This window comes from Homo sapiens, chromosome X (assembly GCF_000001405.40).
Source record: "Homo sapiens chromosome X, GRCh38.p14 Primary Assembly".
NCBI lineage: Eukaryota > Metazoa > Chordata > Mammalia > Primates > Hominidae > Homo > Homo sapiens.
The window spans coordinates 119,932,987-119,946,505 of NC_000023.11; the positions used below are offsets into that span (position 1 = coordinate 119,932,987).

The 13,519-nt window shown below is 42.4% G+C and overlaps 1 protein-coding gene across 1 annotated transcript in view, besides 1 other annotated feature; it reads right to left on the reverse strand.

The window, feature by feature from the left end:
- Positions 1-10,765, reverse strand: part of NKAP (NFKB activating protein) — a 23,080-nt gene extending 12,315 nt beyond the window's left edge. Inside the window, exons 1-5 of the mRNA NM_024528.4 lie at positions 10,234-10,765; positions 5,744-5,824; positions 3,626-3,696; positions 3,311-3,445; positions 1,508-1,571 (exon numbers count right to left, since the gene is read on the reverse strand). Coding sequence (NP_078804.2) covers positions 1,508-1,571; positions 3,311-3,445; positions 3,626-3,696; positions 5,744-5,824; positions 10,234-10,619 — 737 coding nt within the window. The 5' untranslated portion in view covers positions 10,620-10,765. The remainder of the gene's footprint in view (positions 1-1,507; positions 1,572-3,310; positions 3,446-3,625; positions 3,697-5,743; positions 5,825-10,233) is intronic.
- Positions 10,502-11,002: an enhancer, noted in NCBI's record as "H3K27ac hESC enhancer chrX:119077451-119077951 (GRCh37/hg19 assembly coordinates)". NCBI's record gives its function as "activates a minimal SCP1, AML or CMV promoter by ChIP-STARR-seq in primed H9 embryonic stem cells {active_cell/tissue: H9 hESC(primed)}" and the evidence as "EXISTENCE:reporter gene assay evidence [ECO:0000049][PMID:30033119]".

The following is a 13,519-nucleotide window of genomic DNA, read 5'->3' on the forward strand; positions in this document are numbered from 1 at the left end:
AAAAAAAAATTCACTAAAGGGAACAATGAAATACAGTTCTGATGTTGTAGAAAGACAACAGAAATAAAACAGCCTAAAAAGTCCCAACAATTTGAACATTATGAATAATTTTATGTGTAATGGATTAAAATATGTCAAATATGTTTAAATCCTTGGGTTAATAATACTTTTTAAAAATCCAATTCATTATTTGAAAAGTCATTAAAACAAAAAAAATCAAGCAATTATCCTGCTCTTACAATATAAACTATATTTCAGGGTATCTAAATAGTTGATGAGGGTAAGTTTCTCTTATAGAATCATTCTGCCTAATAAATGAAGGATAAAGCCAGGATTAGACTATCACCATTTTACAACCCCTAATGAAATAATGGATCGAGATAATGACCATCAATGGCTGTTAATATGACAAAAAGTGACAACCAGACATTATTTGCCTCCTGACAGTAAACAGCACCACTTATGAAGTATTCTTGCCCCAACTCAAATCTGAGCCTTCTCAGGCCTCTAGACCTATTAATCTATTGGAAATACAGAGGACAGAACATGCCAAAGAATACCATAAGAATACGGTCACTGCAATTTAGGGACATTATTTGGATCCTGATTGGAATAAACTACAGAAAAAACTGCTGAGAATAGAGGAATTATTATTAAATGTTTTAGGCACAATAATAGCATTCTGGTTATGGGTTTTTGTTTTTTTTTTAAATATAGAGACAGGATCTCGCTATGTTGCCCAGGCTGGTATTGAACTCCTGGGCTCAAGCGATCCTCCTGCCTGGCCTCCCAAAGTGCTGAGATTACAGATATGTGCCACTGTGCCTGGCCAGTTTTTTGTTTTGTTTTGTTTTAAAGAATGCCTATCTTTGTGAACCCGGGAGGCGGAGCTTGCAGTGAGCCGAGATCGCGCCACTGCACTCCAGCCTGGGCGACAGAGCGAGACTTCATCTCAAAAAAAACAAAACAAAACAAAAAGAATGCCTATCTTTTAGAGAAAGGTACTGAATTGCTTATGGATGGAATGATATCTGAGATTGGGTCCAAAATAAATGATGGATGGCAGATACTGCCCATGAGTTGATAATTATTTAGACTGCATGACAGGTGCAGGAAGGATCATTATACTATTTTATGTAATTTTATATGCATTTGAAATTTTCTGGCCGGGTGCAGTGGCTCACTCCTGTAATCCCAGCACTTTGGGAGGCCAAGGTGGGAGGATCACTTGAGGTCAGGAGTTCGAAACCAGCCTGGCCAACATGGTGAAGCCCCATCTCTACTAAAAACACAAAAATTAGCCAGGCATGGTGGTGGGTGCCTATAATCCCAGCTACTCGGGAGGTTGGGACATGAGAATCGCTTGAACCTGGGAGGCGGAGGTTGTAGTTAGCTGACATCGAACCACTGCACTCTGTTGCCTGACAGAGTGAGACTCTGTCTCAAAAAAAAAAAAAAAAAAAAAAAAAGAAAAGAAATTTTCCATAATAAAACTTAAAAAACTGACGATCTGTGTTTCTTCTTCTTTTCCTTTTTCTTGGCTTTCTTTGCTCTCCTTTTGTTATCTTCATCTGCAAATTAAAGCACATTACAATTAAGAAAAAAATTTTTTAACTCTAAAACCGTAGTACTTTTGAGTAGGTAACTATCCTATTGCTGTCCCATTTATTGTTACAAAGAAATTACCTCATTGAAACATTTATTGCTATTTGTCACGAACTGTAGGGAGGTACTATGAACATAGAAATTAAAGTCACTAGGTTTTGATGATATAGGGTATTATTATTAATTTTATTGTGTGAGATAGTGTGGTGGCTAATTAGGAAAATGCCTCTTTTTACGGGATGCATACAGAAATATTTAGGGTGGAAGTGTGATGATATTTGTAATTAACTTTGACTATCTCAGTGAAAAACCCATATTTGAAGCAAATATGTAAAAATACCAACAACTGCCAAATCTAGGTGATTAAGTATATGGTATTAATTATACTATTCTCTTCGCTTTTCTGAATATTTAAATATTTTTGTGATAAAAAGGGAAAGAAAACTATGTGTGTGTTGGAGAGGGGAGAGAGAATCCTTTCCTGGAGCTCAGTCTAATGGAGGAGACAGATAGGTAAAGAGATCAATACAATCTGGAATGATAGAGGGAAGCTTGGGGAACCTGGACACACAGAGGAGTCTCAAAATCAGACTGATTTGAGGAGGGTGGCTGAGGAATGGTTGATCAGGAAAGGTGACTCTTAAAGTAGTTCTTTGATTACAAAAGTAATGCATGCCCATTGGTGCAATGAGTAAACCAAGCTGGATGGAGGGAGAGACTGGCATTGTAGGCAGAGGGCCTCTCTACCAAGTAACAAGAGAAAGAACATGGAATACTGAGGAGACAGAAAGTAGTTTTCAGATTACAGAGGATGTTGCAAGAGAGTGTAACAGGGTATATGTGATTAGAGAGAAATGAGTCAGGGTCTGAACTTTACCCTGAAGGCTATGGAGTGCTATTGAAGGATTTTAAGTAGGTATTTGGTGTATAGGGTATTATTACTAATTTTATTGTATGAGATAGTGTTGTAGTTAAGTATAAAAATGCCTCTTTTTAAGTGTTGCATACAGAAATATTTGAAAGTTCTGTCTTCGAGCACTGAGGAAGAGAAGTGACAGGGAGGGCCAGGAAACTTCGGCGATATCAGAGGAAGGTGAATCTTTGTGTAATGTGTTAACCTCAGAGGAGGCACCTTCTGGTCAATCATCAGCCAGGAGAGAGTACAAAAAGGAGACTCTTTGTGATGCACTACCCCAGATAGGGTGCCTTCCACAAATAGGCAGCCAGCATGAAGTAGGCACTTTATGGCATACCTTTTTGAAAACTGTAGAGGTGCTCATTGGGCATGAGAATTAAACAAAAGAGCCCTTCCACTGGGCCGATGCAGCCCTGTAAGGCTTACTTTGGTACAGCCCAACCCCCTGACTTGGTCTGGTGCCATGTGCCTTGTACACTTTGCACAACCAATCCCAATCCGGAGTCAGATTGCTTAGGTTTGAATCCAAACTGTGTGACCTTAGGGATAGTACTTATAACCTGCTCTGTCTCCATTTCCTCATCTATAAGATGTACCCTACAGTTATTGTATGGATTAAATGGCAATAATAAATATAAAGCACTTATTGGGGTACCTGGCACAAGGTTAGCAAGTGTTCAAAAACTCTTCAGTATTATTATTGTTTTCAGGAACCTTCTTCTAAAATAAGTTTTAAGAAGTAAAACTAGTTTTGAAGCAAGGCTTGCAGAATGCTGTTGGCGTTCTTACCACTGGAGTCTGTTTCAGAATCAGAGTCACTGTCGCTATCTTCAGAATACTTCTTATGTTTTCTTTTCGATGATTTTTTCTTTCTCCTTTTCTTGGACCTTTCTTTTGAACGGCTAGACTTCTTCTTTTTTTCTTCTAAGAAAGTACAAATTAAAAAATTATATTCTAAAAAACTATTTCTGAACATCAAAAGAAACAGACGATGGGCAATTTGAGTAAAAGCAAAGTCTAATGTTCAACTATTTACAAACTGATTTTTTTAAATCTCTCAATAAAATAGCTTGTATTTTAAAAATACCCTTTTTTTAAAAATACCTTCTGAAGTAGAAGCTGAAGTAGTGCTTTTCTTTGGCTCTTCATCCTCCACTGGTGTATGTTCATCAGAACTGAATTTAAATAAAATGGTTATAAGAATTAGGAAAGTGATGAGATATGGACCATGGAGTGTAAAGATATGAACTCCAAATTTTTCAGTAACAGCATCGATTGTCCAAGAACCATTAAAAGCAAGCATTGGAGATCCTAAGGCAGAACTTGGGAATCAAAAAAACCAAAACAACAACAAAGCAAGCACTGAACTACTTTCATAAACGTGCAGTTCAAGGGTCTACCATCTTTGTAATAATAAAATAACTTATCATTTGCATAACACTTTAGAGTTTACATAGTACTATTTAAACAAAGCAGCATGGAGGATTTATATTTTCACAAGAAACCACAGGGAAAAAGTAGAGAAACAGGAACCATAGGAAAGATTAAAGAAACTGGGTATAAGAAGGCTGAAGAAAGACTTTATAATTTTATTTTAAGCACGTAAAAGACAAATGGTAAAGCAGCAACTGTTCTGTCTCCTCAGAGCAAAAACCTAACAAACTACAGTCTAAAGAGATGTTGTTCTGTTGCAGAGAATTCTGAAAATGAGTATTATTCAAATTCTACAATAGTTTAGAAAAGGAGTTTCCACATCATATAATCTTTTCCTCTGAAGATCATACTTGGAGTAATTTAAATATTATCTAGAAAATTATTTTGGCTGGGTGCAGTGGCTCACGCCTGTAATCCCAGCACTTTGGGAGGCCGAGGTGGGCGGATCATGAGGTCAGGAGTTCAAGACCAGCCTGACCAACATGGTGAAACCCCATCTCTACTAAAAATACAAAAATTAGCCAGGCATGGTGGCATGCACCTGTAATCCCAGCTACTCGGGAGGCTGAGGCAGGAGAATCACTTGAACCTGGGAGGCGGAGGTTATGGTGAGCCAAGATCGCACCACTGCACTCCAGCTTGAGTGACAGAGTAAGACTCTGTCTCAAAAAAAAAAAAAAAAAAAAGAAGAAAGAAAACTATTTTTAGGGTTCCTTCCAACTCTAATTCAATACATTCAGGTTCTTCAAGTGTTTTCTTTTTTTTTTCTTTTAAATAGTCTTGTTATTTGCCCAGGCTGGTCTTGAACTCCCGGGCTCAAGGAATCCACCTGCCTTGGCCTCCCAAAGTGCTGTGATTACAGGCGTGAGCCACCGCACCTGGCCTCTTCAAGCATTTTCTAAAGGTATCTGTAAGAACAAGTTTCAGATAATAATGCTTTATTATCCAATCACAAATTACAGGTTTACCTGTCAAGCACATTGTCTCAACTCAACCTAAAGTTGGCACAGAAACAGAGAGGGAAGAAGAAACTTATGAGTAGCATCAAAGAGAAAAGAAATAAGCAAAAAGAAAAAGCATTAAGTCTGCAGATAGTATTGGATATAGGAATATTAACAAAACCATACTGGTATATTCGTTTTAAAAAATCTCTTTGTAGGCTGGGCGCAGTGGCTCACGCCTGTAATCCCAGCACTTTGGGAGGCTGAGGCAAGCGGATCACGAGGTCAGGAGCTCGAGACCAGCCTGGCCAACATGGTGAAACCGCCGTCTCTACTAAAAATACAAAAATTAGCCGGGCATGGTGGCAGGCACCTGTAATCCCAGCTACTCGGGAGGCTGAGGCAGGAGAATCGCTTGAACCCAGGAGGCGGAGGTTGCAGTGAGCTGAGACCGCACCATTGCACTCCAGCCTGGGCGACAGAGCAAGACTCCATCTCAAAAAAAAAAATCTCTTTGTAATGTTAATATCTGGCATGCAATCTGCCACTGAGTTTAGTTGAGAAAAAATAATTCAAAATAATGTGTATTATTTAACAATGAACCCTTCTATTAATAGGAAAATTATATTCCAGGAATTATTTTAGATTATGCTAAAACCTACTAGCAACATGTTTTAATCTTTAGATATGTTCTATGTTTTTAAAACTTAAGGGGTAGAAGAACATAAATCACAAGAAAGAAAAATGTGAGATATATTTAAAGTTCTTCACTTAAACATTTTCACAATAGATTCAGGATTTAAACACATATTATAACATTTTAAAAATATATTTTTTAACCACTTACTCTGGTTCAGGATTCTTTGGAGAAAGTCCCCATACTTCAGGAGCTCCCAATTCTCCAATTCTCTCTCTCTCACTTAATCTCCTAGCAGATAAAGACATGTAAATTATAACTCAATGGCTGAGTTGTTTCCTAAATATATAATCAAATTCAATAGGAGTCTAGTTAAGCCTTTTTTCCCTTTATATTTTAAACATGGATAAAAACTTGGTTTAAATGTAAACTCATCACTTAAGGTCTGATGTTCTGATGATACTATCAAATGGTACAGACTATAGAAATGATGGCCTGGGAGACTGTCAAGTGCATCCATTCTGCTGAATGCATGACACAGCTCTTAACTGCTCATTTCATCATCTGTAATATGTGACAGAAACAGCTTCACATTTGTAAGTAACTTCATTTGTTTACAGATTTATGAAAGGTGAAGAGAAGTCTCTTTTGATATGGTCAAACCTTCAGTTTTCAGAAATCGAGGAATTAATGAAGAAAATAAAAATGATGCATTAGACGTAGAAAACAACTGAAGTTCTGAAAATGAAAGAAAAGTTTTTATTTTATTTTATTATTTATTTTTTTAGATGGAGTCTCGCTCTGTCGCCCAGGCTGGAGTGCAGTAGCACGATCTTGGCTCACTGCAACCTCCGCCTCCTGGGTTCAAGTAATTCTCCTGCCTCAGCCTCCTTAGTAGCCGGGATTACAGGCATGCGCCATCACGCCTGGCTAATTTTTGTATTCTTAGTAGAGATGGGGTTTCATCGTGTTGGCCAGGCTGGTCTCAAACTCCTGACCTCAGGAGATCCACCTCAGTTGCTGGGATTACAGGCGTGAGCCACTGCACCGGGCCCGAAATAAAAGTTTTTTATTTTTTTGTAGAGATGAGGTCTTGCCGCCAGGTGCGGTGGCACATGCCTGTAATCCCAGCACTTTGGGAGGCTGAGGCGGGCGGATTGCTTGAGATCAGGAGGTCAAGACCAGCCTGGCCAACATGGTGAAACCCCGTCTCTAGTAAAAATACAAAAATTAGCCAGGCGTGGTGGCGCATGCCTGTAATCCTGGCTACTAGGGAGGCTGAGGCAGGAGAATCGCTTAAACCCAGGAGGTGGAAGTTTCAGTGAGCCAAGATCGCACCACTGCACTCTAACCTGGGAGACAGAGCGAGACTCCGTCTCAAAAAAAAAAAAGAGGTCTTGCTTTGTTGTCCAGGCTGATCTTGAACTCCTGGCCTCGAGCAATCCTCTTGCCTCAGCCTCCCAAAGCGTTGGGATCACAGGCATGAGCCACTGCACCTAGTCAAAAAGTTTCATTTAACAAAAAATATACTTGGGGCTGGGCGTGGTGGCTCACGCCTGTAATCCCAACACTTTGGGAGGCCGAGGCAGGTGGATCACCTGAGGTCAGGAGTTCAAGATCAGCCTGGCCAACATGGTAAAACCCTGTCTCTACTAAAAAAAATACAAAAATTAGCTGGACACGGTGGCATGTGCCTGTAGTCCCAGCTATTCAGAAGGCTGAGGCTGGAGAATCTCTTGAACCCTGGAGGTGGAGGTTGCAGTGAGCCAAGGTCACGCCACTGCACATGACAGCCTGGGTGATAGAGTGAGACTCTTATCTCAAAATAAAAAACCAAAAAAAAAAAAAAAAAAACTATACTCAATGAGATACAAGGTTTGTTCCCTCTCTGTTTTCCTTTTAGTTCCTTTTTGGAAAAGGAGTGCATTTTGTATCTATTCTTTGAAGGACACTAAAATTTGTTTCTTCTTTTGTTTTATGCCTATGGTTTCTTCTGTTTTAATTTTTGTTATTCCTCATAAACTAAAAAACAAAACAAAACAAAGACTAAGGCTCATTCTCTCAAATTTTAGCTGCTTGTGACTCCATTTGTTTTTAAAAATCCTTCCAAAATAAATATAATTGCAATGAGTTTTTGTATAAATCGTTTTTGCCTCCTTAATCAGGGGAAAAGGTATTATAACTATGCAGAGTCAGACTGAGAGGGTTTCCCACCTGAAGTAACAGACAATTTAAAAGGTAACATATTTATAGCTGTACTTGGAATGTATGGATATCGGGGGAAGAACGCCTACCAGGCTGTAAATAGCAGGAAGTCCTGTTGTCACCTGGTTTCATCTGTAATGTTAAGATAAATTATTGGCCGGGCCCAGCACTTTGGGAGGCTGAGGCTGGTGGATCACCTGAGGTCAGGAGTTCGAGACCAGCCTGGCCAACATGGCGAAACCCCGTCTCTACTAAAAACACAAAAATTAGCTGGGTGTGGTGGTGCATACCTGTAATCCCAGCTATTCAGGAGATTGAGGCAGAAGAACCACTTGAACCCAGGAGGTGGAGGCTGCAGTGAGCCGAGACTGCACCACTGCATTCCAGCCTGGGAGACAGAGTGAGACTCCATCTCAAAAAAAAAAAAAAAGATAAATTATTTATTTTCTAAATGTACATATGCAAGTTTCATCCAAGCACTTCTGACATCTTTTGGTGAGGATTCTCCAAGAAGAAACTATTTACTTTTTGACTGACATAGCCTGTGGGTATGTTTCTGAAAAATGTAACTTGGAGAGATGGGTCTCCAACCTAACTCAGGACTGTTTTTACTGTTTTTGCTCCCATGCATGAAACATTAATAGCTAACACTTATGGAATAGTTATGTTCCAGCCACTTAATTATTACAATCCCCAAATCCCTAGTACTTATTTTATCCCCTTTTTAATCCATAGTACTTATTTTATCCCCCTTTTAATGATGAAGAAATGGAGCCCAGAGAGGTTAAGTAACTTGACCAAGGTCACACAGCTATTAAGTGGCAAATAAAGGCTTCATACTCAGTCTGATTCTGGAGTTTGTCCTTTTCCTTTCTTTCTTCCTGTTCTTCTCTTTGTTTTTTTTTGTTTGTTTGTTTTTGAGACAGCATCTCCCTCTGTCACCCAAGCTGGAGTGCAGTGGTGAGATCATGGCTCATGGCAGCCTTGACCTCTCCAGCTCAAGTGATCCTCCCACTTCAGCATCCCCAGTACCTGAAATTACAAGCACATGCCACCACGCCCAGCTGATTTTTAAAACACTTTTTGTAGAGACAGGGTATCCCTATATTGCCTAGGCTGGTCTTGAACTCCTGGATTCAAGTGATCCTCCTGCCTTGGCCTCCTAAAGTGTTGGGATTACAGGCATGAGCCTCTGTGCCCAGCCAAAAAATGCATAGTTTTAAGGAGAAAGGAAAAGGCTCATAATTATTGCTGTGTAAGTCTTAATATCTTGTTTATTGTTAAATTATGTGTCAGGCACTGTACTAAGTTATTTACGTGCACTTATATGTTTAAAAAAATGAGAAACTTAGAAATATTACAGGCATTGAGAGGTAGGTTAAAGTTCCAACAGTTGGGAGATGTCTTGAGTCTTTTTCTTCCGGCAGTGGGAGGTAATAAAGTATAGTGATGAAAAGGACAGGCTCGGCAGGGCATGTGGGGTCATACCTGTAATCTCAGCACTTCCGGAGGCCAACGTGGGAGGATCACTTGAGCCCAGAAATTCGATACCAGCCTGGGCAACATGGTGAAACCCTGTCTCTACCAAAAAATACGAAAATAAGCCGGGTGTGGTGGTGCGCACCTATAGTCCCAGCTATGAGGGAGGCTGAGGTGGGAGGATCACTTGAGCCCAAGAAGGTGGAGGCTGCAGTGAGCCAAGATTGCACCACTGCACTCCAACCTGGGCGACAGAGCTAGACCCTGTCTCAAAAACAAAACAAAACAATCCCCAAGCTATGCATTTTTCCACTCCAATACTCACTTTGATTAGAGATCTAGTCTCATCCTGGCGTCATTTTTCGAGGTCAAGACTGAGACCACTTAACAAGACCTTCCTCAAAGTGGGGTCATCTATAGCTTATCAGATCACTTTTCCTACATGCATCTAATCGTCTTGTCTGAGGGGAAGGTTTATTTCCTCTCCAACTTAAACCCTTGATTTCATTCCTTCCTAATTCCCCACAAAACGTTTCTACATAAATATCCTGTTATCTCAGACCTGTAAGTTCCTTCATTCAACAAGCAATGGTTGAGCGCCTATAAAGTACCAGGCACTTAGAATTCTGTGATCAGAATTCTCCTCCGTTCACTGGCTCCTCCTTTCCATGAGCTCAGTCTAGTGGGGAATACAAATATATTCACGAATGATAATGACACAACCAGGTAAATGCTACAGTTCTGGTAGGTCTGAACTCTCGGCAATATTCGCTAACAAGACAGGAGGCGGAAGGGGGTAGCGGGAGACCAGGGCACTATATGAAGGGGCCTGAGGGTAAGGGAAAATGAAAAGGACGAATAAAGGGTTGTCGTGGGTGGATTAAAGAAAGGGATGAAAATGGGCGCAAGGCAAGCAGAGTGAGCGAAATGCGAATAGTCAGAAGCGGAATGAATGATAGATCGGACTCCAAAGGCACGTAGGCTCGTACAAGAGAAAGTGCGGCCGTCTCACTCACTTCTGCCGCAGGCTCTCCTCCCTCTCCTTGTCGAGGAGGCTAGGCCAAGGCTTGTCGCTCCCGTAGGGGCGCGAGTAGCTGCCGTAATAGACTGACGAGGAGGCAGAAGCGAAGGGGATGCCCCGGGGCGCAGAGGGCCGCTCTCTAGAACGCGACCGCGAGCGTGAGCGGTAGGACTGGTTTCGGGAGCCTTGGCTGAGGCCACCCAGCTGATGGGTGAGTCCATTCCGGTCCCCGGACCGAGAGCAAGAGTGCGAGCGAGAGCGGCGGCCCCGCGGGGAGCGGGCAGATTTGCTGGGCTTCGGACTCTTCGACGAACTGCGACGTCTTCCCCCCGAGCCCGAGGCCTCCCTATCCGGGCTGCGTGAGCCGGACACCGGAGCCATGGCTACTGGGGGGCCCCAGCAGCCGTGGGACAAGGGGGCGCTCTCGCGAGCCTAGGAAGATGTCTGTTGCCTTGGTTCCCGGGACCTGCCGCTGCGGAACAGCCCAAATCTGAGGAAACCTTGGACACAGTTCTGGGTACTTCTGCAAAACCCTTCCCCGGATCTAGGCGGTCGTCACCGACAGGAAGCGATGTGTGCATCAATATAAATAAGCCGGTGGGGCAACTAGATTGCGTGCATCCTTCCAGTTCCGAGTGAGGCTCCTCAAGTCTAAGCAAGAGACCAAGTTCTTTCTCAGCCTTGAACTTGAAACACTTGAAGGGAAGTATATATTTCAAACACAATATACAGTATACATTTCACTGAGTGGCCGTATGAACAAGACAGTTAATTCTGCTTGTGTTTCCTGTGCTTTCTGTGTGTATTTATATATAAATGTGTGTGTGTGTGTGTATGTCATGTATGAAAGTATGAATGTGTATTTTCTTTTTCTTTCCAATCCCAAGCAAATCGGGAGGGTTTTTCGCGACTGGGGATTAGCTATGGTGTCTAAGCCCCATATTGCCGTGTTAGCTTAGAGGGCGCAAATTTTGTTAATGACTCGCGCCTGATAAACTTCAATTAAGTTTCCCGCCTAGAGAAAAACTGCATACTTATCCCCTAGCCACCGTCTCCACCAATATGCCCCAGCAAAAGGAGGTTTTTTTTTTTTGAGACTGGAACTCACTCTGCTCACTCTGTCGCCCAGGATGGAGTACAGTGGCAAGATCTCAGCTCCCTGCAAACCTCCGCCTCCCCGGGCTCAAGCTATCCTCCCACCTCAGCCTCCTGAATAGCTGGGATTACAGGCGCATGCGACACCAAGCCTGGGTAGTTTTTTTTTTGAGGGGGGTCGGGGGAAACAGGGTTTCACCTTGTTGCCCAGGTGGTCTTGAACTCCTGGGCTCAAGCGATCCGCCAGCCTCGGCCTCCCAAAGTGCTAGGATTATAGGTGTGAGCCACTGCGTCTGGCTTGTATTTTTTTCCCCAAAAAGTGTCATTTTATTTTTTATTTTTTTATTTTTGAGACAAGGGCTCCCTCTGTCATCCAGGCTGGAGTGCAGTGGCTATCCTGGCTCACTGCAACCTCCGCCTCCCAGGTTCAAGTGATTCTCCTGCCTCAGCCTCCTGAGTAGCTGGGATTACAGACATGTGCCATCATGCACAGCTAATTTTTTATTATTTTTTAAATTTGTACAAATCTATGGGATACATGTGAAATTTTGTTACATGTATATAATGTGTAGTGATGACGTCAGGGTATTTAAGGTGTCCATTATCTGAGCACAATACATTTTTGTTAAGTGTACTCTCGGCCTGGTATGGTGGCTCACGTCTGTAATCCCAGCACTTTGGGAGGCAGAGGCGGGTGGATCACTTGAGGTCAGGAGTTTGAGACCAGCCTGGCCAACATGGCGAAACCCTGTCTCCACTAAAAATACAAAAATTAGCTGGGCCTGGTGGCACGTGCCTGTAATCTCAGCTACTAGGGTGGCTGAGGCACGAGAATCGCTTGAACCCGGGAGGCTGAGGTTGCAGTGAGCCGAGAGTGAGATTGCACCACTGCACTCCAGCCTGGGCAACAGAGTGAGACTGTGTTTCCAAAAAAAAATAGTGTACTCTCACTCTACCATGCTGTCAATATCAAACATTGAATTTGGGGCTGGGCATGGTGACTTACACCTGTAACTCCAGAAATTTGGGAGGCCGAGGCGGGCCAATCACTTGAGCCCAGGAGTTGGAGACCAGCCTGGGAAACATAGGGAGACCCTGTCTCTACAAAAAATTTAAAAATTTGGCGAGTGTGGTGGTGCATGCCAGCTACTCAGGAGACTGAGGTGGGAGGAACACTTACTTGAGCCCGGAAATCGAAGTTGCAGTGAGCCGTGATTGATCCACTGCACTCCATGGGCGACAGAGTGAGACACTGTCTTAAAACAACAACAAAAACCATTGAATTTATTTCTTCTATCTTACTGTATGTTTGTACCCTTTAACCTATTTCTCTTCATCCTTCTGCTTCCTCCCACATACCCTACCCAGCCTCTATTATCTATCCAGCAAAAGGAATTTGTAATCCCCTCTTTGTCCAGCTCCTTAAACTAGTCTCATTGTATGCCAGCCCAGCAATATAGAGTTAAGGATCAGTATTCCTATTCTTTTTTTTTTTTTTTTTTTTTTTTTACATGGAGTCTCGCTCTGTAAGCAGGCTGGAGTGCAGTGGCGTGATCTTGGCTCACTGCAATCTCTGCCTCTAGGGTTCAAGCTATTTTCCTGCCTCAGCCTCCTGAGTAGCTGGGATTACAGGGGCGTGCCACCATGCCCAGCTAATTTTTGTAGTTTTAGTAGAGACAGAGTTTCACCATGTTGGCCAGGATGGTCTTGATCTCTTGACCTTGTGATCCGCCCGCCTCAGCCTCTCAAAGTGCTGGGATTACAGGCGTGAGCCACCACGCCCAGCATTTCTATTCATTTTATACTGTTTTTCTTTTCTTTTTTCTTTTGTGAAACAGTGTCTGGCTCCCTCACCCAGACTGGAGTGCAGTGGTGTGATCTTGGCTCACTGCAACCTCCACCTCCTGAGTTCAAGGGATCCTCCCACCTCAGCCTCCTGAGTAGCTGGCATGTGCCATGGTTCGCTAATTTTTAAATTTTTTGTAGACATGGGGTTTTGCCATGTTGCCCAAGCTGGTCTTGAACTCATGGACTCAAGTGATCCTCACACCTCGGCATCTCAATGTGCTGTCATTACAGGCTTGAACCACTGCACCTAGGCCTCTACTGTTTTTAAATCAAAGGGCATTCCAACATTAATTCTACTGATTTCGACTTTTTTTTTTGAGACAGAGTCTTGCTCTGTT